General features: G+C 48.5%; 1 protein-coding gene and 1 long non-coding RNA gene across 5 annotated transcripts in view, besides 1 other annotated feature; one reads left to right on the top strand and one right to left on the bottom strand.

Moving 5' to 3' along the window:
- Positions 1,952–3,081: a promoter, noted in NCBI's record as "-602 to +528 relative to transcription start site". NCBI's record gives the evidence for it as "EXISTENCE:reporter gene assay evidence [ECO:0000049][PMID:21450989]".
- Positions 2,554–23,240, top strand: part of PAX8 (paired box 8) — a 62,925-nt gene continuing 42,238 nt past the window's right edge. For all 4 annotated transcript variants that reach the window (NM_013992.4, NM_013953.4, NM_013952.4 and 1 more), the window contains exons 1-2: positions 2,554–2,644; positions 3,006–3,105. In NM_013992.4, the coding sequence (NP_054698.1) occupies positions 3,081–3,105 (25 nt within the window). In that variant the 5' untranslated portion in view covers positions 2,554–2,644; positions 3,006–3,080. The remainder of the gene's footprint in view (positions 2,645–3,005; positions 3,106–23,240) is intronic.
- Positions 14,452–23,240, bottom strand: part of PAX8-AS1 (PAX8 antisense RNA 1) — a 31,497-nt gene continuing 22,708 nt past the window's right edge. The window contains 3 exon segments of the long non-coding RNA NR_015377.2: positions 14,452–15,999; positions 18,021–18,197; positions 21,891–22,211. This is a non-coding gene — a long non-coding RNA (PAX8 antisense RNA 1).

The raw sequence follows: 23,240 nt of genomic DNA, 5'->3' as shown, positions 1-23,240 counted from the left end.
CTAGAAGAAAAAAAAAAGAGTTCTAAAAGTCCCATTGAAAGTCTATTAGTCACAGTGCAAATTTATTTTAAAATTTCAAATATCATCATAGGAAGGCATATGATTTTTATTCTTAACTAAAAGCATCATGGATTTTAAGTTTGAAAAAATACTGTGATAATAGGTGATTTTAAAAATATATGTATTTCAAACCTTTCGTTTTGCAGAGGAGGAGACTGATGCCAAAGAGACAGAGTTAAAGCACCAGTTAATGACATTTCCTTGGCCTTGGTCTCAGAGAATTAGGAAGTACCAAGGAACCCAGGCCTGATTTCTGATTCTAATTAGAAGCAGGGTCAGTCCAGGAGGCCTGTGTTTATCTCTGCAGCAGAAGTTCACTGCATTCTCACTTCTTGCTCGTCCTAGATCTTCTCTGCTGAGTCTTCTGGTCACCTGCTATGTCACCTGCAGTCTGGAGAAGAGGTACTGTCAAGGTGTGGGGTGTGTTTTTCCCTGAGGAGTAACCTTGAACAGTGCACATTGTTTTTACCTTGAAATGAAATTTTAAAGATAAATTTATACATGGGACAGGAATGTTCTGATAACTTGCTGGATTTGTCCTCTAAGAAATTTTGCCCAAAAAGGGGATAGGAAAGGGAGAGGGTTCATTGCTTGGGCAGAAAAGATGTGCACAGGCAAGAATGATTGCATGAGAGTCAATGGTTATTGGTACGTATCAGAACCTTAGATTGGGTAGAATCTCTAAGGTTGTCAGAGCTGTTTGAAATGAGGGCGTATTAGATTCACCCTGGAGCATTGCCTCCCTGGTGGGAGGGAATCCTGGGTGGACAAAGAGAGTTTCTGCTGTGGCTGCCACACTCCACACCTCCCCTGCAGCAGGACACAATCCAGGGCAGCAAACTGGCCCATGGGGTCCGGAGGACCTATGCCAAGATCCATTTCCATCCCAACACCCTTGGATTGTCTCTCTCTGGGAGGGACTGCCAGAGAAGTTAGGGATCTGGAGCTTTGAAAACCACAGAGATATTTAAAATTACAATTTTAGAGAAAGATTTAAAATGATGAAGCACCAACTATTTTTGTTTACAGCCCCTCTTTGCAAATGTGGAGGAAACATGTAGGGATACACATCTTCTTCTCTCTTTTTTCACAAGATGATTCATTTCTCCTAAATTGAGAAATGAGAAAGACTGGGTGGAAGGAGGTTGTGGATTGACATGAAAGAGAAAACTTTTTTAATTCAGAAAAATAGTTCATGTGTTTTCACACACGTGTACATATGTGCATACACACACACACACACACACACACACACACATCCAATCCCCCTGAATATCCCAGTTTCCCCTGCACCTTCCTTGCCCCCCTCCCACTGGCTTCTTAGCCTCCTGTCCCAGAACAACCCCACCAGGCCTGCAGAGCCATCACTGAAAAGGGCATGGCTGTCCTCTAGACTGTAATCCTGAGTCCAGAGGTCTGGCCAAAGATTGGAGGAGCATCCAGGCCTTGACCCCCAGGCCTGCCAGTGTTCCAGGACATTTGCTCACTCATACCCACTCACAATCTTACGTGTACCCCGGTTCCCCGACTGAGAGAACTATGAGGAAGGAGGGGGCAGCTTTTGCCATCACTAAGGTAAAGAGGTGCCAGGCAGCTCTGCTCGGTCCCAGGGCTCACCAACCCTGCCATCATTCCCACCAGTGGACCCCTTCTTAACCACACCCAGGCCCCCATATTGCTGAGGCTATTGATTCCTACAGACCAGGCCAGAGGTCAGCTCAGTCCTGTTCCTTTCTAAGGCCTTTCCACACAGAGATGAAGTCTAGGCCCTCAATGCCCTTCCCCTGAACTCTTCTTCCAAGTTCAAAATCCTCAAGGAGCAAGAAAGAGGGCAGGTGGCTGCGTGTGTGTTCCAGAGGAGAGAGGCGAGGAGTTGCTGTGGAATGGGTTATGTGACAATTTTGTTAGCCTGACAATGCAAGGGTGTGAACGCTATCTGTGTAGAACAGAGGGAATGGCTTCAGGTGCTGCTCAGGATTCTTCCCTGGAAGAGGTCATAGCTGTGGTGAGAAGGTAATAGCATCTTGCCTACAGCCCCGAAAGCAGGCTCTACCTAAAGAATCAGGCATAAAACAGAAGTTCCCTCCTTCCTTTTACAAAAGAAAAGGCTGCTTCCTGGTGAGCAAACCAGGGGAGACAGGGGGCAAGGAGGGCATCCTACAGAGACCATCCCTCTCACTTCTGGTGGTCAGTGACCCAGGAGGACCCAGAGAACCTCATCCTCAGGCTCCTAGGCCTCTGTTCCCCACTCCTCCAATATTTCCAGGCCTGCTGAGTTAGGGCTCAGCTGCCTCCCTCTTCCCTCCGCTGGAAACAGAAGCTCCCAGCGAATGTTTCTAACTCCTGAGTCCACTCAGCCATGTCCCCCTTGCAAAATCCTCCCCTTCCCGCACCCCCCTGCACCCAGCCAGCCAATCCGCGGCCTACGAGCCTCGCCAGACCCATCTCCCAGGGCCTCAGCGGGATAAAACCGGTCGGTGATGCCGGGTGGATGGGAACAAACTTCAGAAGGAGGAGAGACACCGGGCCCAGGGCACCCTCGCGGGCGGACCCAAGCAGTGAGGGCCTGCAGCCGGCCGGCCAGGTATGTCACCCAGGGGTTAGCTGGAAGCTGGCTAGCAGTGAGGACGGGGGATGGAAGAAAGGAGAGGGTCCCAGGATGCCTGGCAGCCTTTTCCCTCCCAAGTTAAACGGGATAAGACTGGGACAGCGGAGGGAGTGGGCACGGAGGTTGGAGTCTGGAGCTTCTTCAGCGCACTCCCAATCCTTGATCCTCCCGGGAAGCCTGTTAGCTAGGCTAGGCTGAGGTTGGCCCTACTTCGCCTAAAAATCCTCCTACTCCTGGCAGACGATGCAGGTGTAAAGGATGAGGCCTGGGGAGGGGGCCTGAGGATGCAGGCATCGAATCTCATCGCATCTCATGCCCTTCTCCTGGGTTTGTGCAGGGCAGCGGCAGGCGCGGCCCGGACCTACGGGAGGAAGCCCCGAGCCCTCGGCGGGCTGCGAGCGACTCCCCGGCGATGCCTCACAACTCCATCAGATCTGGTAAGAACGCGGTGTGGTCAGGATCCCCGAGCCCCCGCGCCGCTGAGCGTCCGTGCGTGCGCTCGGGTGGTTGGATCTCGAGAGCGTCAGCACGGGATTCGCGGGACCCACCCGCGTGGGGACCCAGCTGGGGCGCCTGGGGCCTGGCCCTCCGCTGGAGCCGCCTCGCTGTTCTCGGGCACTGGGGTTCCACCCGGCCAGCTGAGCCGCCCTTGCCCGGTTTCGAGGGACCACATGGATCGGTGAGGGGATCTCTGTGGAGTTAGAGGGGGTTTCCTTTGAGCTCCATTCCCAGCCTTGCATGGCGCATTAGTGTGGACATTCTTCGTGCTCTGTCCCTGGGCTGCACCGGTGCTGGACTTGCCGTTTCCCCGTCCCCGACCTCTAAGTCCTCTTCCTCGGGTGCGCGCAGTCCTTCCCAGTGACTCCCCTGGCTGGACTGTGAGCTCCCCGCATCTCTCAAGCCAACGGCAATGGAGCCGGTGGTCCCGGGCCCGGGAGCCGGCAGCGCACTCAGGTGCTCTCCGACTCCTCCTGGCCCAGCACCGGGCAGGCCGGGCGCCGCGCGCGGGGCGTCCGGCTGGTGAGGACTAAGCCGCTCGCGGAGTCAAAACCCCCTCCCCACCTGCGCCCGGAAGCAGGGCCTTCAAACACACTCGAGCTCCCAGGCCGCGATGCCTGTTTTCCCCCTTCCCGGCCAGGGCTGGGCAGGGTCTTTGCTGGGAAGGAGCTCCAGGGTCAGGGCTGGTGGGCGCAGCCGTCCCGGCGCGCAGCGAGTGCGGACAGCGGTGGAGGCGCAGCGCGGCCCGCAGTGATGGATGGAGCCCGGCCGGCCGCAGAGAAGGCGATTTATGGGGCCAGGGCGCATCGCTATCGATTTGGGCCGGCGAAGTGAGAGGAAATCAATATTTCAGAATGAATTCTCCGCGAATATGATGTCCCGCTCTGCAAACGGGACATTTGTTATAATAAGGAGGGTCGGATCGGGCGCGCAGCGAGGCTGAGATCTCTATTTAGCCAAGCGCACTGCGGGGGCCCGGGCTCTGCGGCGCAGTCTCCAGTCCCAGGGCCATGGCCCAACTAGGAGGGGAGCGGGAACCCCCTGGGGCGCCGGAAGATTTCTCACTCGGGTTCTCTCTAGAGCTGCAGACGAATGCTCCCTCCCGGCCCCCATTCCCCTCAGAGACCTGGGCCAGAATCGTCCGGCTGCCCCCAGAAGGCGCGGGGTCCCTTCAAGGTCCTCAGGGGAGAGACCTCGCAGCCATTCCCCGGCGCGGCGGGGTTGGGGAGCCCTGGGACCGAGCAGAGCTCCCTGGCACCTCTTTACGGTCCGCGTCCTGGAACCACGAGCGCTCCTAGGCCACTATCTAAGGTCAGGATCAGGTTTTAGTCCCTTAATCTTTAGCCAAACCGTGGTACGATACCAGACATCGCCAGGACCATCCCTGAGGCCTAATGTGCAGTGCCCGGTGCCCATGCCAAGCTGGTGCAATGGCACTTCTGCGCCAAGCTGGTGCAATGGCACTTCTGCTCGGCTCTGGAGGTCCATCTTTCCTCCTAACCTTCCCCTGACCCTTCCGGCGGTGGCAGGAGGAGTGAGTGCTCTCGGAAATCAAATTCACTGTGGCCGGGCTGGACCCTTACTCTCTGCCGCTGCCCAAGAAATGAGACGATGTCCCCGTCCCTCAGATGAGCTTTTTTTTTTTTTCGCGGCTACTTATTTTCATTCTAGAAGTACTCGTTAGAATAGATGGAAATAGAGTATGGAAAGAATAAATAAAGGCACAATTTATTTTTACTGTAGTTTTAATCAGGAACAGTCCCAGATGATGAGATGCGCGCTTTCCCACTAGCTTGGATGCAAATCGCGCTTGGGTTTTGGGAGGGAGCCCTCTGCCCCTGGACCTACCAGGTAATTTTTTTCCCCTTTCTTCTTTTCGGGAAGACAGAGGGGCTTCTTCTACCCTCTTTCCAAAACAAATAGACAAAGTGGCGAGGGAGGGAAGATGAGACTTTCTTCTCATAGTTTAATTTAAACGCTAATAAAACAAGAAAATGGCCTATAACCGCATAGACTGCTGAAGGCGCTCCCTGTTTCTTTTCTGAACCCTCCCTCGGCAAACCTGAGGGAGAGGCCGTCTGTCTTTCTGATCAGCTTACCTGACACTGTTGTCTATAACCGGAGCTAAACTCATAAGCGGACCCCTCTGGTTTTTACAAGCCCATTATCTCTCGGGTTTTAGCAGGTTCCCCCTTTTCCCCAGGCACCTCTGTTCCTGAGACCGGCCGTGCTTAGGGAGCTCCCCTTGAGTTTTCTGTGAGCAGAGCCCGGGACGCAGGCGGCCACACGGCTTTCCGCGGGAGCGAGGCCGAGCGCACCCTTCCCAATAACCGGGGACGCTCGAGAAAACCTCCCCGCGCGGCCTCCGCCGCCCAGCCTGCCACGGGGTCGCCTCGTCGTTGGCTGGTCTTGCCTTGCAGAGAGTCTTAACGTTGTCTTTCCTACAGCTTTATTCTGCAGGAATGTTGAACGCGAATCATTTTAACGTGCGCAGGTCAGCGATGGGCTGAACGTTCCTTAAAATCGCTATTTTTGTTGCATCAGGGACGAAATTCTCTAAAGCAAAAACATTTTTAAAAAAATTCAAAGATGCAGAAGAAACGATAAATGCCCCATATATATAAAAGTGAAAACAATACTGTACCAATGAGGAAGAGAGTTTTGTAAAAGCAAGCAGGCTGGCTGTCATTAAAAGTTATCTTAAATAACTTGTCGCAGCCCACTCCCACCAGTCCCGAAAATAGTTCATTCAAGTGGTAAAATAAGACAAGGCAGAGGACGATGTCTCTAACTTCCCTGATGTGAGATCTAAAGCCCCATTCCTAACTCTTGGTTTTAGAATTGAGGAAAGTGGAATAAATGCATTTGGAAAGGATCTGTTTTCTTCCCAGGTTTCCTGCCTGGGTTGAAAATAAGGTTTCAGGGGATGGAAGCAACTTTGAGGAACATAAAGAGGTATTGGGGTTCATCAATTCATCTTTGTTTCAAGATGGTTCCCCCCCACCCTCCACAATGCAAGTTAATTAGGAGATAATTTAGCTACCTTGTGAATTAGTTTTAAGATAAGTATCTTTTTAAGCTTTGTCACTTTAATTGCCCCACTGATTGATAAGAAGTAATTATTTCTAATTGACACTTTTTTGATGTCTATTGGAAGCATTTATTTGGAACTTTTTGGGGGTGGAAGGAAAGTTAATTAATTTTATCAGTCTACCCCCAAAAGGACTCTGCCTAATTTTGTTGAAGAAGACAAAGGAAGTGAAGGAAACCAAATAAAAAATCAATCTCATGGAATTTTAATTACTAAGGGACACTTTGGTTTAAATTAGAGGGCATCTACTAATATAATATGTCAAAACGTTCTATTTATGGCCTCAAATCTCTAATTTATTGAGATGCATTTTATAGGTATTCATTTTCCTATGGATACACTCAACGGCCCTTTATATGCTTCCTTCATTTTGGAGCAGGTTCCTCTGCTGTGTAAATAATTTTTGTGAAAAGTAAAATCTGTCAAACTTGGTATGCCCAGAAAAAATGAAATCATTTTTGTAAGAGCCAATTGTAAGAAAGATTTACTAATAGTCATCCTTGTTCTGTAATTATTGATGGAGTTGGGTATAAAGGTGAAACTTTACTTACAGTGACTTGCCTTTTCATACCTAAACCTTGGAGTAAACAGTTTAATCATTCACATCCTCCAGAACATTTTGCTGTGAGAGAGAAAGGAGTGAAAGAATAAGGAGAAAAAGAAAGACACTGAAAGGAGGCAATGGGGGTGGAAAGGAAAGAAAGGGAGAAGGTAGCTGGAGAGAATAAAATGAAAGCATTCATTTCAGAAATGAAGATAGCCAGGTGCATGGAACCTTTGCCATTCAATATAAGAAAATTGAAATCCTGCTTTCAAAATACATTTTTGTTAACACCAAATCTCTACCACAGTCTCTAAGCAACCCCTAACCACCAAGGGATACCCCCAGTTTTCTACCCCTTAAAAAAAAAGAGGAGAATTTTAGGAAGCTGGCTGATCCGGATCTTGGATATCTGGCTGTCAAAGTCTTTATCTGGGGTCCATGAAAAGGAAGTAAGAAAACGCACATTGTGCTCTGGGATTTATAAAGAGATTCGAGTGTTGTTTATGTTTATTTTATTATTAAAGCCCCTGTGATCTTCATCTCCATTTTGTATGCACAATCTTTTCACAGATCGACTTGTGACTTATTGATATAGGAAAGCATTCCCACATTAACCCAAAGTAGAGACACACACACACGCACACACACGCACGTCTGGAATGAGAGAAACACAATCACACAGGACGCGTTCCTGTCAGGTTAATTTCAGCCAGTGCCTTTTTCAACCATTTATTGTAAAATCTTGCCTGCTTTTATTGATGTTTCTCCCTGATTATGTGGAGCTGCAAGAATGAGGAAATATTTTAAATGAAAAATAAATTTAAGACGTACAAACATCAGATAATATCACATACCAACCTCACTATTAGTGAAATTGAAAGAGTATATAAATAATGCAAAAAAAAATCAGCAAGGGAGAGTTTAGTAATGGAAAATTCCCTGCAATTAAATGAAACAGTAATTTAGTGAAGATATGCCTCAATGAATTAGCATTTATTAATTGGTTCTCATAAAAACAATTTGTGTGTGTGACTTGGGGAGGGGGATGTTTAAAGTATATATTGTCCAGAGATAAAGTTCCTCAAATATTCATATCAAATTATGTCGTTATCACATTCTATTTTGTGAGAAATCCCAAGTCTCTCACTGGCAAGTTACACCTGTACACAGAGAGCTTGAATGCAAAGGAAAGGATTCCCATCTAGATCAAAGAGTAAAGCTGGTTCCCACTTCTCTTGGTACATTTCCAAATGTGAAACGAATGAGGGACACACTGGCAGAGTCTTCTATGCTTAGGAACATCCAAACCGGGCCGCAAGAAGACTCCCTGAGGACCCAGCTCTTCTGGGGCACAGCTAGCTAAGCCAGAGCTAAGCCAGGGCTGGTTTGTGGTTCTGGTCCCCCAGCCTGCTCCAGCATCCTCTCCGGCTCAGGCAGGAACTGCAGTTTGTAATCTCAGCGAGGAGCTTGCTAGGGTTGACTGGTGCATGGATGTGTTTACTTTCTCTCGCCACAGTTGGTCTGTCTTCAGTTCTAAGCATTTTAAAGCTGCTCTATTTATCAGTCCAAGAAGTGCTGAGTTCTCCGTTGAGCTGAGAAGCTTTGAGCTCTATGGTTCTGAGTACACGAGAAGCCAAAAGATAAAAGAAACTGTTTCATTTAAGAAAAAAAATGTTTTAAAAAGTGGGGGCAGGGGAATGAATGAGCCCACCTTCAAGACTGCAGATTAGTTTTGCTTTTGTTTTAGTTGAAAACTTGGTGCACTGCCCCCCTTCGGGTCCTCATTCTCTTCAGAGATAGAATTTAGTATTGAAAACACCCTCTAAGAGAGGAGAATATGCCCTCACGTTATCTTCTCTTAGAGGGTGTAGAGTTCTTTGCGGGAGGGATTCTTTCCAAATGCAGATTGGAACACCTTCTTCGCCCAGGTTCTTCTGGGGAGGGAGCTAACACATTCTGCCTAGGAAATGCAGGCAATGACTACTTTCAGCAGGAGTTCTAGACATTCCTTTCGTGGGGAAGGAGTACAGAGCATGACAATCCAGGAGTCTCTTGGCTCCTGAAAACTCCACTCTGCCACACCAATCCTAGTTCATCCAGTCAGTGGTCAGTGACCCTGGGATGGATGGAATCTCTGCAGTGAGGTGGAGTAGGAAGAAGCATCCACTCGTCTTTGTTTATCTACAGTAATGACACTTTTAAATGGATCTTGAGGATTCATAATTATTTCCTTAGGTCCAGAGTTAGGGCTGACAAGACTGTTTGGGTTGCTGAAAGCCCCTCTAGACCCCTTCGTTGGCCAGATAGAAATACAATGAGCAAATTTCTCTTATATAAGCCACTGGCCAGAAAAATATTCATAGGAAGGCTTCTGTCTTAAACCTGTAATTCATGTAACTGAGTCTGGGCTTTACCTTGCTTGGCTGGTGGGGGTCCTTCCCCAGGAATGAGTCTCGATAGAAACCAGCATCTGTTTACTGAGGCATGTCTAAGATCAAGGGGAAGAAAGTCCAAGAGTCCCCGAAGGATACTTGGGTTCTGTTTCTGTGTTTCTTCCCGTGGACCCTCCATAGTCCTGAATGCCATATAAGATGCCAGCAATCCCTGTGGCTCAGCCAAGCCAGCCTCACAGCTCCTCCTGCTCTGCCCATGTCACATTTACATCCAAAGAAAAAGAACGTCTGCACAAGAGCTGAGCATACCTGGCACTTAGTGAGCTCTCAATGAATGAAAGCTGTGATTCTTCTCTCTGAGGACTGCCACAGGTGTGGTGTGGTGCTGAGAGCAGATGTATTCATCATCTCATTTAATTCTCACAACTCTGCCAGGCAGGTATTGCTACGACATTTTTATAGAAGAGAGGGGAAGGAACTGGTGTTCAAAGAGGTTGATAAGACTCCAATTCCCCTTTCCACTGCTCCCTACCTCAACCACCCAAAGTCCAGCTCATCAGAACTCGGCTACTAGATGATCGACACCTGGAATCCTAGTGGAAACTCCCATCAGAACCCTTGATAAGAAGGCCCAAGTGCCCGTGCTGGCAGTGACAGGCAGAGCCTTCCGTCTATCAGCTTGCTTTCCTCATCAGTGTTCCCCACTCTCCAGTTTAATTAAAATACACCCCTTTCCAGTATGGTTCTCAGTCTTCCCATCTGTGAAATGGAGAAGTGGTTCCTGCCTGGATGCCTCTCCTAGAAGTAGCTATGAGAAGGAAGGAGATGATCAGCCACTTGGAAAGGCAGAGGGAGGGAGGCCTTACTTTCACACATCCCCCCAAGGCTGCCGTGTCTCCATCTGCACTGGAAAAAAAGCAGCTATCCTCAGGCACCACAAGTTGAAGGACCCTGGGGAACTTACTTCCCTAACTTGGCATCTCCCAAGCACACTCAGCCTCCCTGCCTAGGTTCATCTTGGATGTGATGCGAACAGCTTCAGAGTGGCTGGGGAGGCTTCCCCATGCTGTTAGGGGCCAGCACTGGGGGCCCCATCCACAGGCAGCATAGCTAGGAGTGGTGGCCACTGGAGGTGCCGGTTGTTATGTCCCAAAGCTTAGGTTCATCCCCTCTGCCACTTCCTCAGGATCCCTCTCACTCAGGGGCTTAAAAGCAAGGCATTTCTCTTTTGGAGCCTCTGCAGAGGTTCAGTTTTAGAACGTTAGCTTGAAAGAAAGGGATTTTATTTTAATGTTTTCACTTTTTCATGTAGAAAGTAGCTGCTTAGCTCCCGGGCTCTCAGATGAAAACCTCTCTTTGGTTTAAGCAGAGGGAGAGATTGAGAAAGAAAAAATAATTCATTCCTCCCTGCTTTTAACTTTTTTTCGTCATCTTCAGCCACAATACTCATTGGTTTTGTCTTTTTTATTTGTCTTCTTAAATGGCCTTGGGGTGACATGGGTAGTTAGTGCTAATTAGTCCACTAGGACATATTGTGACTGTCAGGGCAGCACAGCAGAAGGGTCCAGGAGCTGGTTGGGTGACGCACCTAAGAGAGAAATGGCTTAATCTGCTGTCATCGGTGTGTACTACAGTGTTCGCGCACACCCAGGCCCTCTGTGTGTTGCAGTTTTGATTCTTCGGCATCTCCAGGAGGACAGTAGAACTTATTATTCTTGGGATAAACTCAGGGGCCATGAGGTGTCAAGAGAATGAGAGGCTTTTGAAATCAGCGTGAAGCCAGGATGAAAGCCCCTGCCCTGCAGGCAGAAGAAGAAGGCAAAGCCCGGGCTTCCATCTTGGCCCAGACCTTGCTGTTTTTGTGTGAACTTAGTCAAGTCAGATGTCTCTCTGGGCTTGTACTTCCCCTTTATAAAATATGGGGATGCTGCAGGGCTTCTGGGGAGTCATGTGAGTAAAACCTGTCTCCTCACCTGGCACATAGCTGCCACTCAAGACAATTTTCTGTGCTCCATGTAGTAGTCACCAAGGAGTGGAGTCTCCAGAACACATTCCCAAAGTCCCATTGTCGTAGTATTTCCTGTGAAACAGCCACCAGTAACTTGCAACCCAGTACTTCGTTCCATTTAAAATTTAGGACAGACTTTTCAATAATTCATGTGGACAAAATAATAGATCTACCACCTAGGAGTACTGGGATTAAATGAAGGGACGCATAGAAAGTGCTGGCTATGACCTCTGCGGCTGTTATCTGCTGTTACCACAGCCTGAAATGGAAAAGGATGCCTTAGTTCACCTTACCAGAAAACCCAGTCATAGGGAAAACACTAAGCTTTTGATAGAATGGCTGTCTGTGGACTGTGTGTTGAAATCCAGAACATTCTAAGGGTTTAATAGAGTTGGTCTTTGAGCAAAAATGAGCTCAAGTGGGTTTGCAGTTATGCTGTGTGTGCGGCTAAGACAGGACTGCAGGAAGACTTGCCTGGGGTACTTGTTTTTAATTGACACGGAATCATATATTTATTTTTAAAAAATTAAATCCACGTATCCTCCACCTTCTGCTTTCTTCTCTCTCCCTCCCTCCCCACCTGCCTCTGTCTCACAATTTTCTACTTTGGGTAATAATAATCCAGCTTTGGCCTGATAGCAAACCCTGGTTGACATTTAAAAGTCTCTGTGATTAGCTGAGCACCAAATCTCTGACTTAAGCTTTGCTTTGCTCCTTTGCTTCAACACTGAGCAAGGTAGAAGGCACCTCTACAGGGCAGGGAGCTGGAGTCTTGCTCTTCCCTTTCAAGAAGGCAGACCCGCAGAACCAGGAGGAAGAATGATCAGACAAAACAACTCAGTGGTAGGAAAAGGACTGAACACTAACAACCCATTCGGCAGGAGCACCAAAGTTCATTTTTCTTGAACAGTCACCCCAGCACAACTATGTTGTGGCTGTTGACAGGTAAACCCCATCTGGCTTTCTCCAGTCTGCTCCTCATTGTTCCAGAGCCAGTGTGCTCCATGACGGTCTACACTGGGGCTCCATCTCAGGGCTGCTGGACAGTTTGTGGCAAAATGTGGCAGGGCTGTAGGTAGAAGTGCCATGGAGATACTTCTGCCAAATGAAAATGCTTACTGGACACTTCCAATGCCTAGGCTCCATGCCTTCACAGATATGCAAACTTTCCCCTCTGTAGGCCTTACATCTCTTTGGCAGTATGAAAAGACCTGGGTCCTTCGAGCCTTGGGGACCTTCCTGGGCCCCCCATATTCCCTGGGGACATGGCAGTACCCCATACCAGGAAGGTCCCCATGGCCCATGGCCCACCCCCACTGCTGGCCATGGGGCTGTCTAGACAGGTGCCCCACACTGTGACAGGCCTGCCTGGGCCTCAGGGCTCCCCCTTTTGCAGGTGGCACCTGCTTTCAAGGGTCCTGCTTACAGTGACATAGCTGCTGTCCTGAGACTCTCCTTTCCTCAGGGCCTGGCTGGGGGCCATGCCATGTCTGCAAAGCACTTGGTCACGTGCTGCCCACATTCCAGCTGTCCTCACCCATCCCAGCTCCAAAGCCACCTCCCCATGAAGCTGTCCATGATTCCTCTTCCTCTTCCCCACCTCCCCAAGGTCTCCTAGCACTCTGTTTGTACGGCATGCCTTGCAGTCCAATTTTTGGAGAAGGCTTGATCTCTGTGGCTCGCAGCTTCCAGACTTGAGTTACTTGAGTACCTGGGACAATGTATGCCTCGCACATCTCAGAAGCTTCATAGGCTTTCATTATGCTGGTCTACCTGGATCCAGAGTTGTTCAAGGCTAGAGGGGGCTCACAGATGAGATTCTGTTGCCACATCTTACCAGTGAGGAAACTGAGACCCAGAGAGGTATGCCCCGACCCTGGTCCCACAGCCCTTGTGGCAGAGCAGACACTCCATCTCATCACCAGGACTCTTTCCATGACCCTGTGGTGACTTCCAGGGCATGTTGAGTTAGAGTGAGGGCTGACCCAACCCAGGGAGCCTTTGCTGTGGCCTGTGCTGCATAAGCAGGACCCAAGGAAATGAAGGGGCCTCCTTCGCCTGCTGACAGGGACTGGGAAGCCCAGTGACAGCTGCTGAGACATACAGACACACACCCATGCACACTCACATGCATGCACACACATACACAGCATATGTACAACACTCACATCCAAACATACAGACAACCGGGGGGATTAGGGTGAAGCAGGAAGGCACTCAAGGTGCAAAATTCCAGGAGGCTCTCTCTCTCAGGCTCACGCAAGGGCAGGGTTGGCCCTGAGAGCAAGTGCCTCCTTAGATCTTATAGCCTGGACACCTGGCTGTCCTCATTCTAGTCCCCTGTATCCATATGACACACACAGTCATACCCAGTTACACACACAGACCACAGTACTCACAGACATATACATGCACACATGAATACAATATTCCCCATCTCACACACATAAACATACTAAAAGTAAGCCTTTAAAATGTAGAAGTATGTGCAGAAGACTGTCCTAGGTCTGTGGGTAATTTAAAAAGACCAGAGAAGGCCCTGCTTTCAGAGACCCTGAGAAATGCAGCTGGGAAGTTACAGGTGTGATTGATGAGTCCCGGCTGTACTCACAGTTGCTAGAAAGGAAGTCATAATCGATGCACTGGGGAAAGTAGGGTGTAAGCTATCCAGGAATCTGCTCTGTGCTATGCATCTATTTAGGCATGAGGTCACTGACATGTGACCTCCCTGTTCTTGCAACCTGTGGTTTAAGGTCTGAGTAGAGGAATACCAGTGTCCAACCATGAGCCCCTCCTGGCCACTAGCTCCTCACTGAAGTTACGGGTCATGGGTAGTCATGGAGCCCTGTAGAGACCTTTTGGTCCAGCATTCTTGTTTTCACATAAGATCCAGGGGCAGCCAGTCATTTGCCTGCATCAGCCCCTAGCACCACTAGGTCTCTGGGGTTCACAGTGGCTCTTCCCAGATGAGGACAGAGCTACCAAGTGGGCAGCAGCAGTAGCGGCAGGACTCATCCACTCAAGAACTGGCCTCAAGGTCCCCCAAGAATGAAGCACTGAAGGCAGGTGGCTGCCAGCTAGCATGGGCAGGCCTCTCTGCTCAGCTCAGGATATTCTCTCTAACATTCTGTCCTTGCTCAGAATTCCTGGGCCACTCTGCGCCTGAGACCCCTCAGCCCCAGGCAGTTCAGGCATGTTCTGTCTACTACACTCTAAAGGAGAAGTGTGAACACAAACCACAGCCGCATGCACAACACCGAGCTTGTTTCTCCACCCACATAGACTGTATTTGTCACTATTATACACAATATGGTGCCATCATGCATATTTTGTACATTTGATCAACCAATATTTATATAAAACTTTCATAAACACTTTCAAACAGTTTTACCCCACAGGGTGGGCAGAGGTGCTTGTCAATATAATAAAACTGAACAACAGTGGTAGAAAAAGGTACACTTGTACTTATCTTCAAGTTTAAGATGTAAATTTTTTCTGTTCAATGGCCACTACCTCATATTATTTTTAGGATCTGGGATCGGACTTAGCAACACATTATGACTTTCAAGAAGTTGAGCTCACTGTTTTGTGGCGTTCTTTGCAGAACACCATGAACTTCCGGGTGCCCCATGTGCTGACAAGTGTCAGAACAGCTGGTGTCCAGCTGACGTGAGGCTGGACTTGTGTGATAGGCACGTTGTGGCCATAGCTCCCCACTCTGTGAAATGATGAGATCGACATGCCTCCATCCATCAGTAGGATCCCCAGCATGGAGAATTTACACCGTCACCCTTCAAAGAAAGGAGCCAAGTCCTGGGCACCTCCTCTCACCTTGACTTTCCTACAAAACACCCTTCTTTCTTGGCACCAGTATAGCACATGTGTATTGGTCATTTAGGAGCCCAGGTGCCTTGTGGCAGAGTAAAGACACACACAGAAAGGCTGGTCTTTTCTTACTCAGCATCCCTGGAGCACACCCAGAACATGATGCCTTCCTTGAGATTTCCTTTAAAGACCCTGTCACCCCTGAGGTTTCCATCCCAGCTACCTACAGAAGTCGTGATTTCTTTTGTCTTTCTCTCAGCTTCACAGACTTCTTGGTCCACCATGGGGAGGGCTTCTATTCCCAGTCATCCACTGTCCTGTGGTGAACCTCTCTCCTCTCCTCCTGGCCCATTTCTCTCCCAAGTGTGTGCTCAGTCTGCACCATGTGGCCAGATCATCTTAGGTTTTGATCCAGCTCCTAAAGAAGCACTCACTGCCCCTTCACTCTCTCACTCTGACTTCCCAGCACTTGGGTTTTGCTGCCTCTGTGTCTGGAGTGCTCCATGCAAATTTCTCACCCCAACCACTGGCATGCTCAGTTACCTTTAGTTTTTATGATGTGTCCTCACCCATCCTCTGGCCACACAAGGCTCAAGATCTAACTCCAAATTATTTCAAAGAGCATTATTACTCAACTATTCAATTTAGTAAGTCAATGTCTACTAAGCCCCTCAGTGTGGCAGGCAGGGAGTTAGGCTTTGGGGTTATGGAACTCAGGAGACCATGCCTCTGCCTTCGTGCTGACATTCTAGAGATAGGAAAGCAAACTGAACTTTCACCATAATCACAGAGAGAAAGCAAAGGCTTCAGTCTAGATAGACACAAAATGCTGAGCAAGTAGGAGAGGGAGGCATGGTGAGCTCTGACCGGGTCAGGGTGGGATTCCTTAAGGTGGCTCAGAGGAGAAACCAGCCCCAGCAGAGATGCAGAGTCCCAGGAGGGTGTGCAGGTTCCAGGCACCAGCAGTCAGCCCTGAGGGAAGGAGACAGCAATGGGAACATGGTCAGGGTTCAGCCCAACTGCAGGGGTTGACAAGAGAAGCTAAGCTATGGTGTTAATTCCAATGTGCCATCAGAACGTCTGGGTAAAGTGCACTCGATGTATACGTTTTAGGGCATTTTATTCACTTGTGCATGAAACTTCCATCCTCCCCTGGCTTGGCCTCACGCTTCTGTTGTTGGCAGTTTTCATATCCTTCTTGGCTCTCTTGCCACAGCTGCATACCTACTGACGCTGTTGTCTTCAGGTTTTGCGGTGATTTTATTAAGTGGAAAAGCCATGGCAATAATCTGTGATAGCTAGGTTATTCACTTTTTCAAAATGTTCTGGTTTCTCTCCTCTCTTGGCTCTGTTTCAGACAAACTTAACCTGGTGATTTTCCAAAATAATCAGATTTCTCCTTGCACTTCCTTTTAATCCAATCATTAACAAGCCATTTTCAGGCAAACTGCTGATGTACAATCCGAGAAGACTTTCTCCTACCTCCGTGGCCTATTTCCCACTATTTCCGTATGCAAACCCATGTTCCAGCCAGCTAGTCATTGTTTCCAAAATACACCATGTACATTCTCACCTCTGTGTCTCTGCCCATTCAATGCAGCTACCTGGAACACCCTTCCCACTCCCACTCCCTTGACAAAGCCTCAGTCAAGCTCCACCTCCTTCCCAAGACCTTTTTAGACACCCTTTACCTTTAGTGACCATCCTGTCTGACTTCCCACTGCACCTGCTCCACTCCCTGGGTACTCAGTACTTGTTCCAACAAATGTCACTTAGCTTCTTACAGTGACAACCTGCCTCTGAGCTAGAAAAGAACAAGAACCCTTCCAGATCTCTCTCTATCCCCAGCACCTTACACAAAATCCTACATAAGGAGTGAGGACTCTACAAATGTCTGGGCTGCTGGTTTTCACCTAATTCTCCAATAACATTTTTTATTGCTTCCTTGGTTGATGCAACTTGCACATTTGAGTTTTGTACATGAAGTTTTTCCAACATGAAATACACCTGATCCTTTCCCATGATATTGCTATATTACTTTTCTATTTTCTTTATAATAATTGGCAATGAGGGAACTGAGAAAGCAAGAAATGCAGCCTTTGAGGGAACCTGATGCAGCCATTCAGGCCGGAGCTGCCCCACTGGGATACCTGCCTGGTCCTAGAGGCATCTTGTAGGCACAGAAGCCTATGCTTGAAGGCCAGATAGCCAGGTTGAGCAGCAATGGGCACTGGGAGTAAAAAACACTGGCAAGCCTGGGGAGTTTGAACCAACAAGGGACCTTCCTAGTGGATGCTGGGTGTCGACTTGGCAGGGTAATTGGTCAGATTTAGGGTGAGAGCATCTGTGAGGATAAAAGATTACAAGATTCCTGTAATTCCTGCAGACTGGGAATACAGCTCCAAACAATATCTAGCACATAGTAGACATATACTAAGTGCTTCACAAGTATTTGTAAAATGGATCTTTCTTTTCTTCTTTTTTCCTCTCCTTCTTCCTTACTTCCTTTTTTTTCTTCTTCTTTCTTGGCTTTAGATAACTGTTTCTCAAGTGTGGTCTATATCAAAACCTCCTGGGATTTTTGTTAGCAAATATGGAGCCCTGGAATCTGTATCCTTCACAAGCTCCCAGGGATTTTTTTATGATCAGCATTTAAGAAACACTGATCTACAGCCCACCCACAGTCTTTCCCATGTGGAGTCCCTCATGCCTGCCTGCTGGGGGCACAGCCCTTCTTTTTGCACTGTGCCTCCTCCTCCCAGAGATCTCCCATCTGGCTATGGGTAGAAGCAGATCAGATTTGAATGCAGTCTCAGGTCTGCCCCTAACTGGCTGTGCACATGCCATTTGAGCCTCCGAGATGGCATCTTTATCTATAAAATGGGGCAAAGTGCCAGCCCCACCTACCTCATGGGATTGTTGTGAAAACTAATCCTGGATGCAACCAAGTCCAACAACTGGTGTTTGTTGAACTAAATTTAAGAATCACTTACTTGACAGTATTTTGGAAGGGCCCTGTGGATGTCAGGTGAGTTTATAACCAACATTTAGACTGGATCCAGGGTCAGAAAGTTCTTGAAAGGAGGAGAAGCCTGGAGGTCCTGGTAATTGGAGGGAATCCAGCCTGGCATTTGGAATATTTGCTGTGCTGATACACTGATGTTCTTTCACTGAAAAAAAACAAAACAAAACAAAACAAAACATTGCCACATGATGCAAGGATCACAAATGGAGAACAAGATGATGAACAAGATGGTAGCAAGTATAGTAATGTCAAGAGAAACAGGTTTTCACCAAAAGAGGGTAAGCTATTAGAAAGGATTTTACCCTCTACTTGACTGACTGAACCTGCCTTACACTTAAGAGTCATTTGGAGGGAACTGGAGGGGCAGCCAGTTACCCTAGGAGAGCAGCCTCCAGGGGCTGCCCAAGCCTGCTGTGTGAAATTCAGGGCTAAAGCTCTAAAACTCTGTTGATCTGTGCATGCGTTTGCTAGCGCTGCAGTGACAAAGTACTACAAACTGGAGGGCTTACATAATAGAAATTTATTGTTTCACAGTTCTGGAAGCCAAAAGTGTCAAATCAAGGGGTCAGAAGAGTTGTTTCCTTCTGAGGCTGGAGGAGAATCTGTTCTGTGCCTCTCTCGTAGCTCCTGGTGGTTTGCTAGAAGTCTTTGGCATTCCTTGGCTTGTGACAGCATAACTCTGATATTCATATGGCTTTCTCACTTTATCTCTGTATCCAAATCTCCCCTTTTCACAAGGACTTGATCATATTGGATTAGGCCCACCCTAATGACCTCACCTTAACTAGATCATCTGCAAAGACCTTGTTTCCAAGGTGCTAGGGTGGTGGGTGGAGACAGGGGAGAGACTATTCAATTCATAACACCTAAGTATTGTGTCTCCTTAGTCCGTTTCAGTCCCCACCCAGCCCTGACTTGACTCTCAGCTGCTTTGGGTCTGAGCAACACCGCTGCAGAAGCTCTGATTTGGAGCTGACAGAAAAAGAAGGGGAAGGTGACATCCATCCTCCAGAACCTTTCCTATTGCTCCAACAGAGGAGGGGACTCCCCCTCCCAAGCCAGAATCCCCCAAAGAGAGCCTGAAGTCCAGGTTCAACACTTAGAAAAGGCGAGTCATGGTGGCTCACACCTGTAATCCCAGCACTTTGGGAGGCTGAGGCCAGAAGATTGCTTGAGCCCAGGAGTTCAAGACCAGCCTGAGCATCATAGCAAAATCACCTCTCTACAAAAAATAAAAAACACTTAAGAAAACAAAAAGGATAAGCAAACAAGCTGATACAAGAACCTAAAATCGGCCGGGCACAGTGGCTCATGCCTGTAATTCTAACACTTTGGGAGGCCGAGGCAGGTGGATCACCTGAGGTTGGGAGTTCGAGACTAGCTTGGCCAACATGACGAAACCCTGTCTGTACTAAAAATACAAAAATTAGCTGGGCATGGTGGTGGGCGGCTATAATCCCAGCTGCTTGGGAAGCTGAAGGCAGGAGAATTGCTTGAACCCGGGTGGGGCGGAGGTTGCAGGGTTTCAGTGAGCCGAGATCGCACCACTTCACTCCAGCCTGAGTGAAAGAGTGAAACTCTGTCTAAAAAAAAAAAAAAACCTAAAATCTTTCAGGGCATGACTTGCTTCAGGACATGTTCTGCGCAAACCTCACTTTCTTCCTCCACTCTACCAACATGGCCCCAGCCAAGAAGCCACTAAGCTCCCAAAGGGCTAAGACAGGGATTTAGGTCAGAACGCTGAGGTTCTTTCTTGGTTCTGCCATGAGGTGAATCTGTGACATTAGACAGCTCACCTCTCCTTCCTGGTCAAGGATCCTCTCAGAAGTGTGCCTTGCAACTCTGCCACTCCACAGACACTGTGCACATCCACCTTCATAGTCTGTAAGCCGTGGCAGCCCACTTTGTTACCATGCAAGTCATGTGGCAGCCCATAGGCCCCACTGTGTGCTACCTTCCCTCATCTTATGGCACGCCCAGTGTCACCCCTGGTGTTTTGTCACATAGGAAGGTTACTCAATGTTTCCCTCTAGAGCTCTCTCTGTACCAGCTTCTGGGGGTTTCTGGCCTCTGTTCCCCGGCTGAGGGCAGTCCCAGAGTTGTAGACATTAGGACTGGAAGGATCATCTGCTTCTGTCAAGCCAGATGAAAAAACTGAGGCACAGACTGGCATCGTCACAGAGTGGGCAGAACCTAGGCCTCCTAATTCTCAGCACCCCCTGTTTCCTCTCCAGAAACTGCAGCCTGCAGGCTGCATCTGCTGGCCTCTGTCCCTTCCCCTTTTCTTCTGCAGCAGTGAGGGCAGCTTTTAGAGTGGATAATCTCCTTCGCCATGGTGCCTGCTATCGACAGGTGTGGAAACAACAGATGCACGGTTTTGTCACAGATTTTGCTCCTGTGTGTCCCTCAGAAAGGCGGTTCCCCTTCATTTGTTCTTACCTGTTATGGTCCCCAGGATGGCCAGGCCCTCCTTCTGTCCCCCACCCTGAAGACTCTGCAACTCACACACACAGTCACACACATACACACACACACACACACACAAAACAGTCACTCTCTCTCTCTCTCTAAACGTGCCCTAATTCAGGCTAAAGCCCACCCTTTACAAATGCCTCCTCCATGAGCTAGTCAAGCCCATCAGGTTGTATCCTAGTTAAGATCTCAGAAGCAAAGAATCTCGGCCTTCAAAAGAAACTTAGAGGTCATTTAGTTCAACTGTCCGGGTGAGGGAGGCATCTTTATGTGACTTCATTATATTCAATATTCCCTAGTTCCTCTGGCTTCTCAGTCTCTGCAGTCACCCCAGCTACAGCTGTTATTTCCTTCCTATTCCCCCTTCTCCCCATCCTCCCTACCTACCCCTACTCTCATGGTTTCCTGCCCTCAGCAGGGGTTCTTCTCACCATCCCTCTATTTCCCTCCTTACCCATCTCTGAGTGATTTTTAAATCAGTGCCCACTAAACTCACATTTATAGTATTATAACTTTGAGCTGTAGAACCTACCAGTACTTTATGTCCTTTACTATCCATCCCCATCCCCAACACACACACATACTCACACATGAGCACACACCCCCACACCCACTCATTCATACACACATTCACACAGACACCCATATACACACCTCCACAGATATTCCACGGAGCTACTTGTGGACAGAATTGAAGGAGACTGTGCATGTAAATGTGTTGAAAATCTTTAAGGTTCTATAATATGTCAGGGACTATTAACTTGTAAGTTTCTCAAGGGCAAGGACTGTCTTCTACTCAGAAACCATCACCCCACATACACACAGCCTGGAATATTATTAGACACAGAGTAGGTGCTCACTGAATTGAAATCTAATGTACTGAAAATTGCTTTAATATAAACCCATTAAAAAAAAAGCATCAGTAGCCACAGGCCTCTGACCTCAGGGGGAGTTGAGGGTGTAGTGCAGTAACTTGTACAGTCGCTAAGCATCTAAACGCGTGTTCGGCAGGTGCTGCCATACCTGCCTTGCCTGTTTCCCTCCCCAAACGCAGAGACCCTGGACCTTCCTTCTGCAGCCCAGAGGGCCCTTCCACAGCCCTGGTGTGCGATGCCAGGAGTCTGCAAGTGTCTAGGAAGCTCAGTGGGAAGGATCTGGGAAGAATGACCTCTAGTAAACCTGCAGGGAGCACTGGGAAGCTCCATTTGCAGCCCCTGACTAGAAGTTCATGTTTCATCAATTAATGCTTTCGATAAGTGTTTGTTGACATCCACAGAGTAGATATAAACTCTAGGCTATCAACAGAGGAGATTTTTAAAAATACAGATTCAGGGATGCTATGCCAAAAGATTCTGACTGAACTGACCTGAGGCGGGAAGTTTCTGGACTCTCCAGGTGATTCCAGTGTGCAGCTGGGAGGAGGAAAGCACTGCTCTACCCACTGCAAAGCACGCCTGCATGGTCAGATGAAAGCTGCACCTCCCCTCAAGGAGCCAGGTGTCTGCGGGAAGAACTTGACAACGAGATTCAAAGAGAGGACAGGGGCTGGGGAGGTCGGTGGGAGGATGGAGAAGGTTCTGGAAGGTTGCTTCTGGGAGGCTTCTCTCCCTGGGCTTCTGAAGGCCAGAGTGCAGGGTGTGGATTAGCCATACCCAAAGCCACATTCACAGAGGGGGAAGCATCACTCCTGCAGGAAGGAAAGGAAGTGAGTCCCCTGCTTGGGAAATGGTGCCCAATCTCAGAGGGAGAAAGTGGCTCATCTGCTGTTACTTTATATACCTTATATTGCTGATATAATTTATAGGATCTAAGACAGCGTGAAGAGACCTCCAGAAATCTCTGAGACAGCACCAAAGGCAACCCTACCCAGGGAACCCTTGGACTTGGTGACCTTCAGGCTCAGAGCAGCCCATGTGTGTCTCACTTGCCTCAAGCTCTCTGGCCCCTGTGCTCCCAAGGTCTCCAGCTTGGCTCCAGGAAAAGGCAGGGCCTCATGTCAAGTAGTACTTTTCTTAAGGAGCTTAGAGGTCTATTGACATTTGAAGCAGCTCCATCCCTAAAAATCCACACACTGAAGCCCTTCTTGGGAGGGAGGTGACAGGGTTAATCTAAGGGCTGGGGGAGGCGGAGAAAGGCCTTGAAACCACACAGTGAAGCCAACCAGATTAATAGAGGAAGAGAGAGGGGGGTAGACCATTAGGAAGACAAAGAGAAAATCATGCTGGAGCAATAGAAAGGGAAATCTAATATCAACTAGGGAAAAATAAATGGAGATTAGGGCAAACAAATTAGCTTTAATGGGTTCAATGCTAATACAAGAATAACAGCGGAGCTGCGAATGCCTTTGAGGGGAAGATGGGATAAAGAACCTGAGCAGTCATGCAAGCAATAAAGATTATGCAGGGAAGGGGGATGGCCAAAAGAGCCAGCAGGGAGGGAGAGAGAAGGGAAGACTCCGGGCAGATGGGTAGGGGAGCGGTGGCATTGGAGGAGTCTGCCATCTTTGACAGGAAAGGACTGGGACAGAGAGCTGGTAAGAACTGGGGAGGCAGCAATCAGGAGGGAAATAAAAGAAAGCAAGGAAACTGGGAGACACTGAGGGCAGGGATGCAAACCCAGAGCCGGAAAGACTGGGAAGAAAGGAGGCAGCGATGGATGTAAACAAAGAGAATGGAGGACAACCAGCCAGTACACAAGAGTAAAGGGAAATAAAGGA

Source organism: Homo sapiens, chromosome 2 (assembly GCF_000001405.40).
Source record: "Homo sapiens chromosome 2, GRCh38.p14 Primary Assembly".
NCBI lineage: Eukaryota > Metazoa > Chordata > Mammalia > Primates > Hominidae > Homo > Homo sapiens.
Note: the sequence above shows the minus strand (reverse complement) of the source record. Positions and strands in the feature narration are given on the sequence as shown.